The sequence below is a fragment of the Homo sapiens genome, chromosome 2 (assembly GCF_000001405.40).
Source record: "Homo sapiens chromosome 2, GRCh38.p14 Primary Assembly".
NCBI classification, from domain to species: Eukaryota; Metazoa; Chordata; class Mammalia; order Primates; family Hominidae; genus Homo; species Homo sapiens.
In genome coordinates this window covers 156,163,894-156,184,512 of record NC_000002.12, presented here as the reverse complement: position 1 = coordinate 156,184,512, position 20,619 = coordinate 156,163,894, and the positions used below count along the sequence as shown (strand labels likewise).

Genomic DNA, 20,619 nt, shown 5'->3' with positions numbered 1-20,619 from the left:
CCGGTTACAGTGACTTGTTTATAATATCCTATTTTCCAAAGCGCATGTTCCAACCTTTCTCGCTTATTTCAAAACCCAATCCTCTGCTCTGTGCTCCCGCCCCTCGCCATTTCCTTTGCAGATTACCTTAGACATTCTATCTCAAGCTCCCTCGATTTTACACCATTACAATCTCTTGGTTTTTTTCTTCTTTCTTCATTTTGAGGAAAAAATGTTCCCCATCCTTCGTTATTGTGCCTTCTATGTCATATGTAGCGCAATTTAGTGCATCTGCCAGGACCCTGGTACTTTTAACTTCTGTTTTCAATGGTCTTCTCCCAGCCTGCAGGACAGGATGTGAAATAATACTCCAAATCCTGTAAGCAAACTTTTACAAGCTACATAGTCTTGTTTCTTCTTCCTTCTTTACATTCTTAGTCTCCAATATTTCATCTTTCAAAAATTCCTTTGTTTTTTGCAAAATAAGTTTTAGATGGTATCATCTTAGGTTTTTCATACATTTGTTCAACTATTCTGTTTCATTCTTTAATTCTTTTTCCTCTTCTAATTTTCCAAATGTAGGTATTTTCCAAAGTTCAGTCCCTGATTATCATCAGCCTATTTTTCCATGTTGGCAATATCAGGCACACTCAACTCTTACCTCTAAGTGGATGGCTAGTGATGATGTTATTGCTACTCTTCATATCTTACTGGAGATTCTGTTCTACACTGGGAATTTTCTGCTGCAAATCTCTAAATGCAGCATGCTCCAAAGAAAAATGCAACTTTTGCGGTGGGGGGAGGGGGGAGGGAAGCATTAGGAGATACACCTAATGTAAATGACAAGTTAACGGGTGCAGCACACCAGCATGGCACATGTATACATATGTAACAAACCTGCACGTTGTGCACATGTACCCTGGAACTTAAAGTATAATAAAAAAATAAAAAATAAGATAAAAAAAGAAATAAAAAGAATGCAACTTCTTCCACATTTCGCTAAACCTTCTCATGTTCCTAATTCCCTCAGCTTCTGCGTTCAATCACTTGCTAACTTTCCAAAAGCTTACTTTCATGCTGCTTTCATCACTCTTCTTACCTCTCTCGGCATATTCTTAATTAAATTTGTCCTATTTTACTAATTTTCCAAATGATCTTTCTGTCTTCTTTTCCTCCCAATTTAATTTTCATACTATTGCCAAGTTAGATTTCTAAAATCATTGTTTCACACAAAAATTTTCCGTGGACTTTCCCTATACACTGGGTATAACCGAAAACGCTTAGCTTGACATTGAAGTCATCCTTTCTTGCCACAGGAGGAGAGTATAATACCTCTTAAGTGTTCTTAGGAGATTAACTAACCCATCATGAAATCAGGAAAACAAAATTTGAGTTGACTGGGAATATTTGTTTTCCTTCTCATTGTCATAATTTTGCTTTGAAATACTTTATAAAATCATTGGGTATACAATTTCTTTTGGAACTGATATCAGTTTAATATAGATCTCCAGTGTTTATCAGCCTAGATTAAGTTTTTTTTTAACAATTTACCCTCAACCACAATTCCATTTTATTGCTATATTATTTAAACTCCTTTTCATGTATAAAAACAAAACATCTTGGCTCTAGTTAGGATGGTTGTCTTTATTTGAAATAATAACTGAAGCTGATATGATCATTATCGTTCCAGGAGAATTAACAATGATAAAAGTAATAAATGATACTAATTTTATAATCAGATAATTTTCCTACTAGTTAGAATGAGTTATGGTTTTGGTAAGTGTCCTCCTGGCATCTAGAAACTGACTAATCCAAATACTAAAAAATGTTTATAGAGGCAGCCTTCATTGCACTTTTTAATTCAAAAGCAAGTGGCATAGAAGTCAACCAGAAAGACAACAATCATTATTACTTCAACAGCTTTTGTATTCTCTTACCCACCAAATTTCCTAACCAGACGAAACTAGAAATATAACCTGGAAAGGAATCCCTTTCTAAATCAAATTACATGAAGAATTTAATTCACTATGCTTTTTGGTAAATAGGTTGGAATAGTTGCCTCAAGCTGTCACTCCTTGAAAATGTACGTGTCCTAGACAAGGTTGCTGATGTCACGGTTAGGAGTTCACTTCCTGGGAGAGGTTTACAATTGAAGCTGAGGTGTATCTGATTCAGCCCTTAGGCAGAAAAACTGGATGAAGCAGTTTTTCCCCTTTCTCTTTTACAGACTGTGTGATTTGTGCAACAGCTTTGGCTTGGCAAATAGGGAAGTGTCAGAGCTAAATCAGCTTTACTCTAAGGGCATGGTGTGCCTGTGTTTCTCAGCTCACTGATACCTAAATCCAGGACCATTTTACTTCAAGTGGAATACACACACAGAGCAAACATTCTCAAGGTCAGGTATACCTGTTCTTTGTATTCCACAGCAAGAACCATTTTCCTTGTTCAGAAACAGGCAAAGAACTCATTTGTGCTTCAGAACAGTAAACTCCATGAAAAAAATACGTTCAAAGAACCACTTTTTAAAAAGAAGATGTTATGCAATCAGTATTTTTGGGATTATCAAATATGTGAGAGCTAGGGGGAGGGTGGTAGCCCTGGTTTACCTTCATGAGTGCATGATTGGCAATCTGTTATGCTTGTGGGATGGCCAGATATCTAAGACATACGGAAGGGAACAATTGAAGCAAATAACTATATAATTCAAGCAATATTCTCTGACTTTTCTTCAATTACTTACAGTATTTCAAGCAGCAATAGAGGTGGGGCCTGAGTTATTTGGGCTATTTCTTCCTTTTCTATTTTCTTTCGGTGGAATAAGTAAAAGTAAGTGATGTGCTTTGTGTGTGTGTGTGTGTGTGTGTGTGTGTGTGTGTGTGTGTGTGTGTTACTGTTATTGTTATATTTTGCAGTCAGACAGAGCTTTTTTTTTTGAGTAAACAAGATTCAGCAACTTAAAGAGGACCTGAGTTGTCCAAATGCCTGTTTTGGAATGGGGAAGTGTGGATTTTTCCTTTTCACTATATCTTATGCTATTAGAGACAGATGCACGATTATGGATGGCTGTGTTGTATACCTGCACAGGCTCAGGAAACAGCCCTGGGTTCCCCTCAACTTCTTAGTCATGAATGATGCCCTATTGTTTCCTTTCAGGTTTTGCCTCTTCACATCTCTTACCTTTTTCCCCCTTAGTTTTATGTAAATCATGTGGATAATGGAATGAAATGGTTTCCATGGAGCTGAACAAATATAGGTCATATTATAAGGGACTCTTCCTCTCTTGATGTACACAGGTGAATTTGCATATAGTTTTAATTATTTAGTTTTATATGTAGGACAGAAACCGTGAACAAAGTTGAACTTTTTGTGAAGTAGACTTACACTTTCCCTTATAAAATATATCTGTATTGATACAATAAAAATTCAAACTACACAAAAACACTGTAATTTAGTAGAGAGAAAAATCAGATGGGACATCTGTTTTTAAAACACGTTTTAATTACCTGCTAGCAAAGTCGCTATATGGTTTACTTCTCTGTGCAACAGCTTTATTACTTTATTTTTTATTTATTTTTTGAGATGGAGTCTTACTCTGTCACACAGGCTGGAGTGCAGTGGGCTGATCTCGGCTCACTGCAAGCTCTGCCTCCCAGGTTTAAGAGATTCTCATGCCTCAGCCTCCCCAGTAACTGGGACTACAGGCTTGTGTCACCATGCCTGGTTAATTTTTGTATTAGATGGGGTTTCGCCATGTTGGCCAGGCCAGTCTGGTCTCAGGTGATCCACCTGCCTCAGTCCCCCACAGTGCTGAGATTACAGGTGTGAGCCACTGAACCTGGCCCATCAGCTTTAAAATTGTAAATTTACTTGTCTTTTTAAGCCTCCTGTACATCTAAGGAACCCCTCTTCATTTATTTGTGCATTAATTAATTAATTCAACAAATAAGCTTTGGATCCAGATGGACATGAAATTGAATTCTGGTTCTACTTCATACAGGCTTTCAGTTGGGAAAGTTAGTGAACCTCACTAGATGCAAATTTCTTCATGTGAAATGGGATGATCATACTACCTTACAAAGTTGTTGTAATGAAGAAGTATATGTGTGACAACGTCTGCCACATGATAGGTGCTATAGTAACTGTTTTAGATAGTTTGGGCTATAACAAAATGCCATACACTGAATGACTTATAAACAACAGAAATTTATTTTTCATAGTTTCAGAGACTGGGAAGTCCAAAATCAAGACACCGGCAGATTCTGTGTCTTGGATGGCCTGCTTTCTGGTTCAAAGACTACTGCCTTTTCACTAGAGAAGAGGAGACAGAGTACTCTGAGACATCTTTTATTAGGGCACTAATTCCATTCACAAGATTTCTGCCCTTGTAAGCTAATCACCTTCCAAGATGCCCCACTTCTTAATACTATCACCTTGCGAGCTAGGATTTTAGTGTATGCATTTTCTGGTGACACAAACATTCAGACCATTGCAGTGGCCATGAGAAATGAACTTGCAGACCTCCAGCTACAGGAAGCATGAGTGAACAACAGCACTGGCTTCTGAGATCTGAAATCCACCAATACATAGGCAATGAGGCTGTGTGTAGGCTGCTCCCAGCCAGTGAATGACTGGGTGCAAGAGGGATACTAGGGCAGGTTCATTCCTGGAACACAGCCTCTCAGTGTGGTCACTTTGGCTCAAAGACACCTTGACAGCCTTTTTGAACCTTCCTTATACTTCACGGCAGTCTAGGACACTTTCACCCCACCTTCCTTCTCTTTTACTTGGAGACTACAGACTTGCATTGTGATCTGAAGGCTCCCTCTTCATGTTCTGTCACAAGTAATTCTCCCAATAAAATCCTTGCTTCTTGGTGTCTGCTTCTTGGAGAACCTACACTAACACATATGTTCCTTAATGATAGTTGTTTTAAAAGTATGTTTATTACTGATTATGTGCAAAGCACTCTCTTGACTTAGTGCATGATGCAAAGCTGAATTAAACATATTTTATTATTCCAAATAAGTGAGAGCCTCCTACTCATGAGCGGTGTCATAAGGCTAAAAGAGATAATATTGAAAACTTTTGCCCCTTGGAAGAGAGATGCCGTAAAAATTAATGATGGACAAAATAAAATTAAAGGGCATCTTTTAAAATAGTGTCATTTAGAAATGTGGCACCAGTGCATTTCTATTCTGTAATGTAACTTTGCTCTAGCATAATTCCTCAGGCAGGTGTTTGAGAATAAAATACGCAAAGAAGGGTTTACAACATGGGCTTAATGTAGTCTGAAATATGCTATGTATTTTGGTAATCATAGGTCTATAAGAACTAAGAACAGGTTGCTAATGGAAAGAAGCTTTAATTAAACAGATTTCTCTCATTTATCATAACTTTGATACTTTGTAGGGTCCTTATTTTTCTTTTTGTCAAGGTAAGTTTGAACCAGATGAGTGACAAGTCTCAATACTCTCTGAACTTACGAGTCCAGTGGTTCCACATCCTTCCAGATAGATTGATAAAGTGATGATTGGAATACTGAGACACTTTATTTTATTAAAGCTTTTGTAACTCGACTGACCATCTCCACTGCTAAACTTTGGGTTGGAATTTCTGAAAAGAAATTTATCTTTCCTCTTCCTCTTCTGACTAATTCTCAACAAGTAAAGATATGCATATATGTGTATATGTGTGCATGGATATGAGTGTGTGTGTCGTTTTGGAAGTAGGGGAGAAATTTCTTTTCAGTTTGCTAGAAAAGAATCATTGAATACTACTTTTAAACATTGATTATATCTTACATTTAGTTATTTTATTTTATTTTTAAAAGCCTTGTAGAACACTATAGCTATATGTCATTAATTTTGACATATAATAGCAATGTAAGAGAAAAGCATTTGTTATCATCAAAGTTTTATAGATTAGGATCTTAGGAAACCCAAATTTAAAAGGATTTTTCAGCCTCAGGAATAGATCAGACACATGCTACTTTTCAATTTCCATTTGTCTCTACAGATATTTCCTGTAATTGAGGAAAATTATATTAACAAGTTCAAATATTTTGGGTTTTCCCCTTTCATTACAATTCTGCTAGATACTAGAAAAATACATTAATTGCTTGACTGTGTAATATATGTACCAAAAGAGTGGGTTAATGAGAGTTATCACACATGAGGTGAAATAGTTCGGTTATTTCAATAAGAGCAATGACTTTTTTTTTTAAGCATCAAAGTTCAAAAATAAACTGTTCAGTAAATTCATGTTTGAGGCAGAAAGTTTCAATTTACATAACTTGCCTGTCTTTTCTGCAACTCTAAGGTAATATTTTGCATAAAACCTGAGTTCATTTTTGGTGCTTTTGTAGTGATGAGAGTCCTTAGGACTGTGTAATCTGGGACTTGATCCTCCTCAGTATGTGCCTCCCTATCAGACTGCACTAAACCCAAGGCCCTGGACTGTCTGCCTGCTTCTGTCCTCACCACCCTTGCAGATTCTCTTTGAGTTCTTTCACAGGATCAAACTCACACTCTTTTCACACTAAATACTAAATTTTTGTACGTCTGAACTCCTCCTTTTCTTTTCTTTTTTTTTTTTTTTTTCTATTCTATTTAAAGACAGGGTCTTGCTCTGTCATCCAGGCTGGAATGCAGTGGTGTGATCATAGTGACCTTGAACTCCTGGGCTCAACTAATCTTCCCACCTGACCCTCCCCAGTAGCTGGGACTATAGGTGCATGCCACCGTACCTCGCTAATTTTTTTATTTTTTGGAGAGATGATGTCTTGCTATTTTGTCCAGGCTGGTCTCACACTCCTGGGCTCAAGTAATCCTTCTACCTCAGCCTCCCAAAATGCTGGAATTACAGGCATAATCCATCACATCTGGTCACCTCCTCCTACTTCTGCAGACCATGCTGCTAAATAAATATCTGCGTGTTGACCCTATCTCCGTAGAACGAATGTTTAGGTCCTAGGGACTCTCTCTCTCAAAAAATCATTTGTGTAAACCTTAATTCTACTTAAATACATCTATAAAGTTTTTTTTTTTCCTAAGGAATGTATAAAGCCAGAAATACACTGGCTACCAGGCTACTTCTGGTCCCTTATTCCTTAAGCCTATAGTGTTATTTCAGAACTTTTGTACCTTCTTGGCTGGGCGCAGCAGCTCGTGCCTATAATCCCAGCACTTTGGAAGGCTGAGGTGGGCAGATCACTTGAGGCCAGGAGTTCAAGACAAGCCTGGTCAACATGGCGAAACCCTAATCTCTACTAAAAATACAAAAAATTAGCCAGGTATGGTGGTGCATGCCTGTAGTCCCAGCTACTCGGGAGGCTGAAGTGGAAGAATCACTTGAACCTGGGAGGTGGAGCTTGAAGTAAGTTGAGCTCATGCCACTGCACTCCAGCCTGGGCTACAGACCAAGACCTTGTCTCAAAACAACAGCAACAACAACAAAACGAAAAAAAAAACCCAAAACTTTTATACATTCTTTTCCTAAAGCTTTTCTATCCATATTAAAATTTGCAGTGTCCCTCTGCTTCATACCTGCAAACCTCAGACTTTTCTTCCATCGACAGATAGGCCTAAATGTCATAAGTACAGAGTGTTCCCAACAAAGATGGTTTGACTTATGATTTTTTAACTTCATGATAGCGCAAAAGTGATACACATTCAGTAGAAACCATACTTGTGTACTTCCAGTACCCATACAACCATTCTGTTTTTCATTTGTGGTAAAGTATTCAAGAAATTATGAGATATTCAACACTGTACTGTATTAATAATATAAAATAGGCTTTGTGGTTGATGATTTTGCTTAACCACAGGCAAATGTAAGTGTTCTCAGCATATTTAAAACAGCCTAAACTAAGCAATGACGGCCAGTAGGTTAGATATATTAGACACACACATCAGTACTTCTATCAAATATATTGATGTGAACCAAACAAAAAGTTGAATGCTCTTGTTATAAATGTAGCTACTTAGGAAATAGGAAAAGCCAGCATCTTTTCTTTGTAAAGGCCCTATGTCTTAGCATGACAGTTCTTACTCCTGGCTCTACAATAGAATCACTTAGAGTGCTCTAAAATAATGGTGATGCCGTGATCCCACCTACACTAATTAAATCAGAATAACTGAGGGGTGGGGGGATATCGGACTTGGTATTAGTATTAAAACTCTCCAGAAATTCTTATGTACAGCCAGAGGTGAGAACCACTACGTGGTGAAATATCAGCTTTCTAATGGTTTTCTTTATGAGTGTAAGTTGGTGCTAAATAGTTGGGTTCCCCTGCTAGTAGGTCATCTCTCAAGGAATTTTTATGAGCTCCCGGGACATTAATTCCACAAAACATACCTTGGGATATGAAATGACTCTGTGTATACTGCCCAAGAGCTGACTTGACTAGTTGGTTAAGCCAGTTCATCAGCAAACAGAAGTCTGTGATTATTTCAAGGGAAGTGTCTTCTGAGCTTCAGGTTCCCAGGAATACAGTGACATCAGTTTGGACTTCAACATGCTTGAGAGTTAGAACAGAGAGACAAGAGCAAAGAATCCATGGTTCAGCTCTTTCTCTTCATTCACAGATATCTGCAGATATCTCTCTATAACCCCAGGATCCAGGCAACTCATTTATTTCTCAATTGCCCCATTTAGCAACTAAGTCTGACCAATATCTACTGGCCAGTTGAGCATACAGGTACAGTATGCCAACATCATAAAGTATTAACAAAAACATAAGTTTATATATAATCCCATCCCCCCAACCCCACAAAACCAAAAGGAAATGAAAACCCTGCAATTCATTATGTCTGAGTAATATGCATTTTGATGAGTAAGTAGATGGACAGTTTAGGTCAGAATCGCTCCCTGTGAAATCGTTGCTCTTTCCCCTTCCCATGCTGTGGAACCTTTTCTTAGGGACCCAAGCTTGGTTCTGTTTGAGGCCTACCTAGCTCAGTCTGTTCATTTCAACCTGTCAGTGTCATATCTCATCCCCTATGGGAGAACACCCATGTCAGACTGCAGAAGTAGCTGACTGCTCTGCTGATATTTTGATCTCCTCTGCTCCCAGGGCTTGGAGTGACAGAAGCCACAGGTTCACCTCCTCCATGTGCCCCAGTGTGTGCTACAAATTTGAGTGGTTTCTACATGTCCAATGACATGGAAAAGTTTGGGAGGCATATATTTTCATGTCCAAAATTGGATTTTTTTTTCAGATACATATGTGTATATATGTAGATGTCAATATGTGTGTGTGTGTATGTATATATATAAGACATTATATCTGCTTAGCAAATTCTACTTACTGGGAAACCATGCATTGACTATATGTTGTGCTATAATGAGACTTAATGTTTCCGTGCAGGAGTTCCTTCTTGACATTTCTCAGGAAATTTATGTTTTCTGAACCCTGAATTCTGCAAAAAAAAAAAAAATTCCATTGAGAATTCAGGAAAATAGGAAAAGGCATTATAATTCTCCTGTGGGAACGAAAGCTTAACCATCGAGATGTTACTGTTTGAAGGAATCCACTGATGTTAAGTCAAAAGGAAGAGCAAGAAACACGGACAGGAGAATCAAAGGTTAAAGTAAACATTTCTGGAAGCTGGAACAGGAGCAAGGAGGAGAGAAGTATTCAACGTCTTGCAGCCAGTTATAGCTGTTGTCTGGTTGTAAGTGTGTGTGTTTGTGTGTGTTTGTGTGTGTGTGTGTGTGTGTGTGTGTGTGCATGCCCCTGTCTATTGCTAACACTGAGCCATTCTTGCAAATAAAACAAATAAGTTCATGCTCATAGTATATTTCATACAAGTCCTATGAGTGGTGTTCCAGGAAATAGCCAGTTGTGGAAGAAAAACAACCCTTTAAATTGGAACTTTTGAAATGTGATTCTGTGGAGTGCTGCTAACTTTACTAGGAGATCCGAATATTACCTTATTTGAATCCTAAACAATAATGTTCAGTGGAGTTTTCCAGTATTTGATTATTCGCTAGAGGCTACAGTTCTTTGTAAGTGCTTTAACAGAAAAAAATGTAAAGAAAAGAATTGAATTCAATACTCATGCAAAAAGTAGAAAATCAATCAAAAATCTAAATTAGCAAAAGCAATATCACTTTCAATAGCAAAACCAAAATCAGATCAAGCAAACAGAATAATTTTACCATTAAAAAAAGAATAGTTTGTATGAAGTAACATGTACCCCAACATCCCGCTTGAAAGTACTTTTGGGTGCAATCTTAGCAAGTCAATGCAAGATGAAAGAAGTTTTTTACATTGGGGATATTTGTCATGAGACAAGGTTCAAGACTTTCAGATAGGGCAATTAATGCTTTGTGTACTTAAAATTTCATTGTAGGAGTACAAACTTCTAAATATTAAATCTTTATGCCTTTTTTTAATTTTTAAAATTATTTTTAATTGGTATTTTTGTACTGTTTCCTTTTAATGTTTTCAATTATTTAATGTTTATAAAATTGAGATTATTTATGTTATTAAACTTTATAATATATATTGTTTTATACTGTAACTAATTATGAGCTTATCCTTACGTATTAAGTTGTTATTTTTTATTTTTTACTTTATTTTATTTATTTTTTAAGTTGTTATTTTTTAAATAGAAAAACCTCTGAATGACTAGTGGGAAATCCTATCAGAAAATTGATTTGCCTTTTATTATTATGGTCACTCATTTTTATTTCTATCATAAAGTTTTATAAAAAATACAGATTTTGGGAATTCCAGAGAATTTCTTGTGTCCTAATCCCGAAGATTAATATCAGGAATCTGCAACACTAAGATACAAACCAGAGATATCCTGGGGGCCAGTACCAGGGAAAAAGATCAATATGAAGCCTGAGAGGCAGGAGAGAAGTTGGAGGGTTAAGCCAAGTTCAATTACAGGGTGTCAGGACAGAAGACACCAGGAGCGTAATGGTGTGGATACTAGAATTGGAATCCTGAAGACACATCAAAGTCAGGAAACATCAGAGGCAAATGAGGGAGCAGAAAAAGGGAAGTTAAAAAGGAAACTAATTCCAGGGGTCAACATCTTCGGGAATCAAGATTGCTTTAAAATGGCTGGGCATGGATCTCTGTGGTCCCTGAGGCAAGAAGTCTTAAAGGGGCAGCCTATTGTCATGCGCTGCCTCCTGCAGAGTTTCAGGATTTAAGAATACATATTTGATAAATTCATCTTTTGGTAATAGACCAGTGGGAAATGTATTTCTTCAATCAGTTTTCTTTCCCTTCTGTGGATTGTGCATGTATAACTCCTCATCTGCTTTCCTACTTTATAAGCAAAAGGCTAGGGAAAGCAAGAAGATAGAGACGTGAGTGCACAGGAACGAGGGGACAGGTGAAATCTGTGGAAAGGAATTCATCTCATCTGGGAAAGACAGAGAGTTGGGAATTTTTTTCTTTTCTCTTTCCCCATAGGAGAGGGAAGAGAAACATTCTTCATGCCAGTTAAGTGAGGGACCTTCCATATAATTACTTGTAGAAATTGGAGTGCTTGCAAGAAACAAAAATTGGCATCCTGGTCTTTATTTAGACTTCTGCTAATTTGGCCTCTGTGACTTCTTGGGCAGAAGGAAAAGAGAGGTGGAGAGAACTGTTATGCAGAAGGAAGAGAAGTAGAACCACCCACAAACTGACTGCTTCATGTGGCACAGGTATGGTTTGTGCCTCTGGGTCCCTGTAGTCTGGGCAAAGTGGCCAGATTTGATCCAATTTGCTGAAGATCCACCTTAGAGGACCAGAGGAGCAGACCCCATTGCAAGAAGAGAGGTGGAAGCTTGCCCAGTGGGTTAGAAAAAGTTGAGCCAGTGCAAGCTCCCCCATAGGAGGTATCAGTTGAAGTGGGGATGGGCTGCACCCTGCTACATCAGAGCACTCACCCGTGCCCACAGAGAGCACTGGCATTTGTACACTGGCCCATGAAGCCCTTTAGAAGCTTCATGTAAGCAAAATCAACAGAGTTGATTCCAGTTGTACAATGGGGTTCCTTTCTTTTTTAGAAATATTTATCCTAGGTAGTTATAATTCATGGGTATTTTCATTGTCATTCTTACTGTTTTTTTTTTAACTTTTAAATTCAGGGGTACATGTGCAGGTTTGTTACGTAGGTAAACTTGTGTCATGGGGGTTTATTGTACAGTTTATTTCATTATCCAGGTATTAAGCCTAGTATGCGTGAGTTATTTTTCCTGATCTTCTCCCTTCTCCCACCCTCCAAGAGGTCCCAGTGTGTGTTGTTCCCCTCTGTGTGTCCATGTGTTCTCATCATTTAGCTCTCACTTATAAGTGAGGACATGAGGTATTTGGTTTTCTGTTCCTGCATTAGTTTTCTAAGGATAATGGCCTCCAGCTCCATCCAGGTCCCTGCAAAGGACATGATCTCATTCTATTTTAGGGCTGCATAGTATTCCATGGTGTATCTGTAGCACATTTTCTTTATCCAGCATATAATTGATGGGCATTTAGGTTGATTCCATATCTTTGCTATTGTGAAGTGCTGTAATGAACATATGCATGCATGTGTCCTTATGGTAGAATGATTTATATTTCTTTGGGTATATACCCAGTAATGGTATTGTGGGTCGAATGGTATTTCTGTCTTTAGGTCTTTGAGGAATTGCCACACTGCCTTCCACAATGGCCGAACTAATTTACACTGCCACTAACAGTGTGTAAGCATTCCTTTTCCTCCATAACCTCACCAGTATCTGTTATTTTTTGACTTTTTAGTAATAGCCATTCTGACTGGTGTTAGATGGTATTGCATTGTGGTTTTGATTTGCATTTCTCTAATCAGTGATGTTGAGCTTTTTTTCATATGATTGTTGGCTGCATTGTACTGGTACAAAAACAGATACATAGACCAATGGAACAGAATAGAGAACCCAGAAATAAGACCACACACCTACAACTATCTGATCTTCAGCAAATCTGACAAAAACTGGCAATTTTGTGTTCCATAAATGGTGCTGGGATAACTGGTTAGCCGTATGCAGAAGTTTGAAACTGGATCCCTTCTTTATACCATATGCAAAAATTAACTCAAAATGAATTAAAGACTTAAATATAAAACCCAAAACTATAAAAACCCTGGAAGACAATGTAGTTAATACCATTCAGGACATAGACATGGGCAAAGGTTTCATGACAAAGACACCAAAAGCAATTGCAGCAAAAGCAAAAATGGACAAATGGGATATAATTAAACTAAGGAGCTTCTGTAAGCAAAAGAAACTATCAACAGAGTAAACAGACAATCTACAGAATGGGAAAAAATTTTACAAACTATGCATCCAACAAAGGTCTAATATCCAACATCTATGAGGAACTTGAACAAACGTACAGGAAAAAAACAACAACCATATTTGAAAGTGGGCAAAGGACATGAACAGACACTTTTCAAAAGAAGACATGCAGACAGCCAATACTCTAGCTGTTTCAATCATACTGATCTTTTTTTGTTCCTTTAACATGCCATGTTTCCTTTTGCCTCTAGTCTCCTGCATATGCTGTTCCATTTCCTAAGGACACTTTTCCTCCTGCTTGGCGACTTGCTAACTCTGATGAATTCTTTCTAAGTTTCAGTTTAAATTTTACTTCTTCAGAGAGGTCTTCTTTGAATCTTTAGTAGTTGTATCCTCTTGTAATATGCTTTCTCATCACCCTGAAATACCTCTTTCTATAATAACAAATATGTCAGGAATCATGTCTGTCTCATTCAAAGTTGTATTCCAGGACCTACCACTGAACTTAATGAAGTATGGATAATAAATGTATATTTCTTGCCTCAACAAATGAAGGAAAGTAACACCAGCCACAAAAGGAAAAATGAGAAAACTGAACTGAAAGTATGAATAACAATCACTTGTATACTACAGATCATTTTTCCACTTTGGAAGCATTTACTATAGCCTAATAAGAATTCTGTTTTGTCTTTAGCCATTTACTTGCAGGCAGTCATGATTCATGTATTAGCACTGACAATACTGACTTGTTTTTTGTCATCCCTCAGGGTTGGGAAAATGGTTGTGATTGTGCACAGGGAGGCCTTACACAGAGATGGAGCAAGTTCTGGTTTAAATGAACTGGTTTGAAGACCTTAAGGCATCACTTATCTCAAAGATCTTTACCTCATTGGTCCATATTGTGCTTGAATTCCCACAATTAAATTCCCTTTTAAAAGTGAAGGTACTCTAAAGGGAGATGCATTTCTGGAACGTTAGGCCTAATATAGATTATGAGGCAAGTCTCCTTTGGTCATCTTGAGTTCACATGTCCTCTTCTACTCAAGGTCTTTATCTCCTCATTCAATTAGGTGGGTCTTGCCTGGGGAAGAGAACGAGGGCTCCTAGGGAAACTGGGCACTAGCGAGTCCTTAGCTTCCTTACTGGAGAGGAGGAGCATGGTATAGTTCACCTGCAAAATCCAAATTAGCTTTCACAATCCATGATTTTATCTAAAGTGGGCATTTTATTGTATTGAAATGGCACTAGACTGGGAGTCAACAGATTAAATCATTTGTCATTAACAACCTTGGATGTCAGTTAACTTCTCTGAGCTTCAGTCTCTTCATGTGAAATTGAGGGTTACAATTTATGATGCTTTAGAATTTTTCCAACCTTCATATTTAAATAATATCGATAATTATTCCCAGTAACAGAGAATATGAAAAAAAACTTTGTAATTAATCTAGAACCCATCAAAGTCTATTAAAGAAGTAATCTCTTGAACATGAATCTTTATTGCAGTGTCTATACTTTCCTCTCTAGGAACTCGAAGGAAGAGATAAACACTTGAGAAAGATGATCCAAATAGCAAAGTCTCTGACGGGTTAAGGGGAGGGATGGGAGAACAAGATTACCTTTATGAAATACATTTAAGAGAAAAATTCTAGATGACCTTGCCTTTGACAAAAATCTTCCCAGGCGTCAAAGGTCATACATATTTCTCCAATGTGTCTATGAAAGGATTGATGAGTTATTGTATTTCTATTACTTCCTGAGCGAATTTCACAAACTCCAAGTTATTTGCTTCTGTATTATTAGTTGAAAGGGATAAGAGGGATTAAGAAGAAGTAAGATTCCATTTACTTTTTTGTAAAAATTTCAAACTAAGTTTGCCTTTGCCATGTGTAAAGAGGCATAATCGAGGGGCTTACTCTTTGTGTGAGAAGTTGCTGTATGCTGCAGAAATTTGTGACTGGACTCTCAAGGTGGCCCGTTTAAGGCCAGAGGCCCCTTTTCTCCTGAAATTCAAAGGTCTGGATATAGGAGAGAAGCATGCAGGGAAGATTCCCCTACAAAAGGTCGGAATTGGCCCCTCATTTGAGACAGATACCATCACAGGGCAACAGGGAGTCTCGAGATCAGTGAGTTGAATTTCCTGCCTCTCTTTAGGGGCCTTCAAACTTACAAAAATTAATCCTTTTGATTGACTCTGTCTCCTAATCTTGAAGATAAGCTCAGAACATTTACCGGTTCTCAGCACTGCTTACCAGGCCAAGTCTTAGCACCAAATATGAATTTTGTCATCCGTGACCTTTCCAATCTTCCCTTTTTACCTGCCCACTTGGTAGCTCAAGTCGTCTTCCTTCCTTCTCCCTGGAAACTTATGTCAAAATGGTTGAGATTGTTAGGGATTTAGAGATCAAATCATTCAACCTTTTCATTTCCAGAGCAGAATACTAAGATCTAAAGAGATTAGATGACTTCCGTAAGGATATGCTGTTAAATCCTCTTGGTGATTTCAATATAAGACCTCAGAGTTACTGTTGTTGGAAGAATCATTATTAATTGGTTTCCCATGTAGGTCAGAAACATTGCAATTTGGTACCACCTATCATTTTCAGATATTCAAGTGTCAATGCAAGTGTGTTTTAAAATAATTTAAATATCTCTGAATATATAAATCATCACCTATCATTCATTATTTAAACTTCTTAACAAAAAGCTTTTGGAATATAAGAGTAATTTGCTACTATTTTGAAAACAATTTTAAGCTGTGAAAATAATCAACGTCCACTTAAAGGGAAAAGCATCTAAAAAGAAAGGCTAAGTACATAATCAGTTTGCAAGCCAACATTAATGAGACTTTAGTGATTCAAATACTGTAGAGCATGAAGGTAAGTGTAAGTGGACTCGTGTGAAAATCAAGGTTACTTGCTTCTTGAGAGAAGCATGTGGATAGTGTTCTTGGGGTCAAGAAGGCAGAAGCATCTGGCCTAGGAACCCTGAAGTGTTAGAAATCTTGCTCAAGGCAGCTGTTACCATGACCTCAACAATTTTTGTAATCCTACGTGATGCAAAACTGTTCTCAGGGTGTTTGAACTTGCCAAGGAACTCCAGCTTTTCTGTATAGCCATTAACACAGGAAATCATATGAATAGGCAACCTTAATGAAATCTTTTGTCACCAATATATTTGCATCACTGCTTTGGGCTTTCTTTCCCTTTGTCTTTGTCCCTAATGCAAAGATTTTGCTACCTGCTGAATTACTCTCCTCAAGTTTACTTTGTGAACTTTGTCAAATAGAGAGTTACGATTGATTTCTAGTTTGGAAAAAATTAACATTTTAGATAAATTGTGCAGCTATGAATATATTTCCCAATAAAATATTAGTAGGTATAGCTTTTGTAAGCTTGTTACACCTTCCTTTAGGTGTCAAATATTAATTTTCTTAAAATAAACATCAAAATATTTTCTATAAATAATTAAAAACACATTCTTAATGAGAAATAATAATTTAACTATATAGGAAATAATAAATTTGTCAGCAGTGTATATGATTCTTTATAATTTAATGATTGTTTTACAGTCATTTTTGATACTCTTTTTCTAAAAAAAGAAAATGGCATATAAGCAATTGGTTATTATTATAGGCCCTAATTCAGAACCAGAATTTTCAGATCTCTTGCCTTTGTTGTATTCCTCTTAGCGCACTCTTCTCTTTCCCAAGCACCATGGTTTAGAAGATGAAACTACAAGGGCAGAACCTTTTTCTTCTTGCTGTGCCTCCCTCCGTCATTTTCATCCTTTGAGAAATTCAGTACCCATTTTCAAAACCTGTCTCTAAGGAAGTAATATTTCTTTGTTATGGAACAAATAATATTTGAAAAAATAAGTGCATACAATGAGAAAAAAAAGAAAGCCTGTCAAAAGCCATGAACTGTAGATCAATTATCTGTGAAGAAAGAATCTCCCCTCTTTCCATTGCTCCCACTAGTGGGATATGCTTGTGTTACTGATATTCATGTTACTCTCCCTGCGGTCATCTTTTTCTCCAGTATCTTATAATGTGTATGGATCCTATGCTAGGTCCAAAACTGTGAATAAGCTGCTGCACGTGAGAACTTGCAACTCTATTGGAACCACAAAAAGACAAGGTCCTATGTGCATCCATTGTTGAGAACAACAGAAGATTAGTCTTCTCTACTAAGGGGAATTTAAATATCGATCCATGGAAAAGAGATTTCCAAACCTGGGACTGCCAAGAACTGAAGTCTACCACCTACGATTAGAAAAACTGGACATGGTCCCATTTCTAACTCATTTCAACACGCTGACCCTTTATAGAAAGGCTGATAATGAGGCTCTCAGAATCTGGGTCTGAATGGTAGTCCAAGATACCAGTGTAGATGAAACAATATCTTAGACTTTTTACTTTTTATGAAGAGACACTAGTACCTTTAGCTCAGAACTTAACTGCAGGCCAACACTTGGAACTCTCGATATGAAGGCAACAGGAGTAGGATTCAGGGACAGGGCTTCAAATTGCTGGTATTTCTTTACTGTTGTCTGTGCCACATTCATCACTTCCCTCCTGTGCCGTCTTTGTGTTTGTGTGTGTGTACATGGGGAGTTGTGTTTGAAACTAGCCTCTGTACTACTGTTTTTTTGGATAGTGCCTGGAGCCATTACAAAGGAAGAAACTGAAGAAATCTAAATTGTTAGAATTTGTCCCTGTGTAGTACGCATGCTCTGGCAATTAAAAAAGACACTCACTGTATGCAAAGTGTCAAGCTAAGGCATAATTGGGGTTCAAAGGAGGGGAATATGATGCCTCGGCCCTTGTGGGATGTTATAATCTGGGGTGAGGAATAGACAGGCCAATTTACAAGTATTTCTCACAAGGTAGACTGTGCTGGATGAGCCAACAGAGCTGAGGTAATGCATTGAGAACATGGGCTCTGGCTTCAGACTGTTGTGCAAATTCAGTTTTTACTGCTTAACATGAGTGTGATCTTGGACACATTATTTAACCTCTTGCAGCCTCAGTTTCCTCATTTGAGAAATTGCAGTTATAATAGGACTTCTCCCATAGAGTCAATGAGATGATTAAATAAGACAATTTATGTTAGAATTTCTTTCTTTTAAAAACACAGTGCCTACTATACAGCAAGCCTTTATAGCTCAATAAATGTTACCTCTTATTATAAACATGAGAATATGGGAGAAATAAAACACATGTACCATTGAAAGAGTTAAAAAAATCCATCTCCATAGAGGGTTATAATTTAAGTCTGCCTAGAGGTGGCTTTAACTTACACACACTGGTAAGTTATGCAGGTTTTACACGTCTGTTCAGTCTGTTATTCAGTGACAAAATATGTACTTACAACGGCAATTAAAGCAACTTAAAGTACCACTGTAATACATCACAGACTACCTCTGTAAGGAAACACAGTTGCTGTAGATAATTTTAGATGGTTATGATTTTATGAATATTTTAAGAAGTAAAAAAGAAACACCAGTAAGGTGTAGTGCTTTTATTTTTAAACACGGGTCTCAGAAATCTAAAACTGTGTTATAGAAGTTCTCTACAAAGCTCTTTTAATAAAAGATGATGTCTCTCACTGCATGAAAGATTTACCTTTGAGTGGGCTGATTACTGAATGAGTGAAATTTTGTAACATATTATGAAAAAACATAATAAGCATTGTTTTCAATGTCTTTTAAATAAAAACTTTTGGCTGTTCTTTTGTGCATGAAGATTGTGGCCAGTCTGGAAGCATGGAAAGGCAGATAATTTTGAGATGATATTAATAAATATCTATTTTCTTAAAGTTCACCCAGGGAGAGGTTTAAAAGGGAAGTCGCACAGTTATGTGGACTCTATCACAAGAAGAATTACTAGTGATGGAAGACAGTATGAGAAGTATCTTTGTTGTAGGTTGTGGTTGAAGCGGAGGAACTCACCTTCCTCAGAAATTAATGGAGGCTTTCAATCTTGCTGGCACTGCTACTTTATCATTCATATGACTAAACAGACAATCAATTTAGTGGCGATGTATGGGAATGAAGGGAAAGAACAAATAAGCTGTGAATGATGAGAACAGAAAAATCAAAACCCTCTCCCTTATTCTTTTTTAATGGCTAATACCAACAGGGACAAGACCAGTAAAAAGAGGTTAATGAATTGCAAAGATCCTTTAGAAAGTGATTGACTGGTATTGAAGCACAGTCAAATCAGTCATAAATATTTACTTTTATTAGCAACAGTGGGTTGCCTGTTATTTTCAATTGATTTTTAAAGCTGGCAAAAAACTACTACTGTGACTATTATCAAATGTTCCCAATTTTGTCAATATTTCCCTGCTCTAAACAATTCCAAAACTCACAGCCTCTTAAATCCTTATTTCAAATGTATTTTTCAGCACAATTTCCAAATGATTACAAATGACAAGCTAAAATGAGGGTCCCTACATCATTAAGAATAATTATAATCTTTTCATTTTGACATTTGTTCAAATGGGTAGAATGGCTGCAATGGTGGGGTTAATGTTTTTTGATAAACCATATTTCACCAACATTGACTTGCTAACCTGCAGTTGTGTTATGTGTTTTACCAAGTGAAAATGAGCCATAATAGAAATCTCTTCTTTTTTTAAATTTCCAGTCAGTGTAGCAGTGACTAGAAGCACTATAAGAGTTAACAGGGCAACATCGTTCCGGTTTTTGAACACTGTGCGATATTGCCGTTTACGTCATTGAATAAAATACTGCTTTATTTTGGTAAAATTTGATTCGATATAAGGACATTTTTCTGAAACTTGCTGTCTAGACCATAAGAAAGATGGAAATTGCTTTTAACACAGTGTTTGTAACATTAAGATCCAATAATTCAATTCAAAGGAACATAACAAAAGGAATTTCCTACAGATAACAACAAAGAGTTAACATTTCCCAGGGCAGACAAGTTTCCAATTCAATTAGTTTTAATGAACCTTCTGCTCACTGGTTACTGAACTAGAAAGAACAGCAATAAATGCCCAGAGGAAAGAGAGTGAGGATATTAAAGGAGGGTTAGCGTATAGTATATAAATTTTCAAGTTGACTAAAAGAGTAGCCTTGATGCAGTTTTGGGAGCTAAAGCCACAGAATCAGATCTGTCTTCTGAGTTTAGTGTACAGGGGCAGTAAATTTTAGCCAGTTGTTTTATGTGATGAAACAAACACACTAGTCTGTACCCTCAGTCTGATAACACAATAGATAATAGAATAGATAATACCATAATACAGCTCCTTAAAATAGATAAGCATATTCCATAAGAAAAACATAAGATGATTTTTTTCTTCTAATCAGCAAAACAGATTTGTTAGTTGATGTATGTATAAATGGATATATATG

General features: G+C 37.1%; 1 long non-coding RNA gene across 2 annotated transcripts in view, besides 1 other annotated feature; it reads left to right on the top strand.

The window, feature by feature from the left end:
- Positions 1-20,619, top strand: part of LINC01876 (long intergenic non-protein coding RNA 1876) — a 234,397-nt gene that overhangs the window by 70,419 nt on the left and 143,359 nt on the right. The gene's annotated exons all lie outside the window — the stretch shown is intronic.
- Positions 8,886-9,109: a silencer, noted in NCBI's record as "fragment chr2:157031916-157032139 (GRCh37/hg19 assembly coordinates)". NCBI's record gives its function as "represses an EF-1alpha promoter that drives an FKBP-Casp9 reporter gene in an ReSE screen in K562 erythroleukemia cells {active_cell/tissue: K562}" and the evidence as "EXISTENCE:reporter gene assay evidence [ECO:0000049][PMID:32094911]".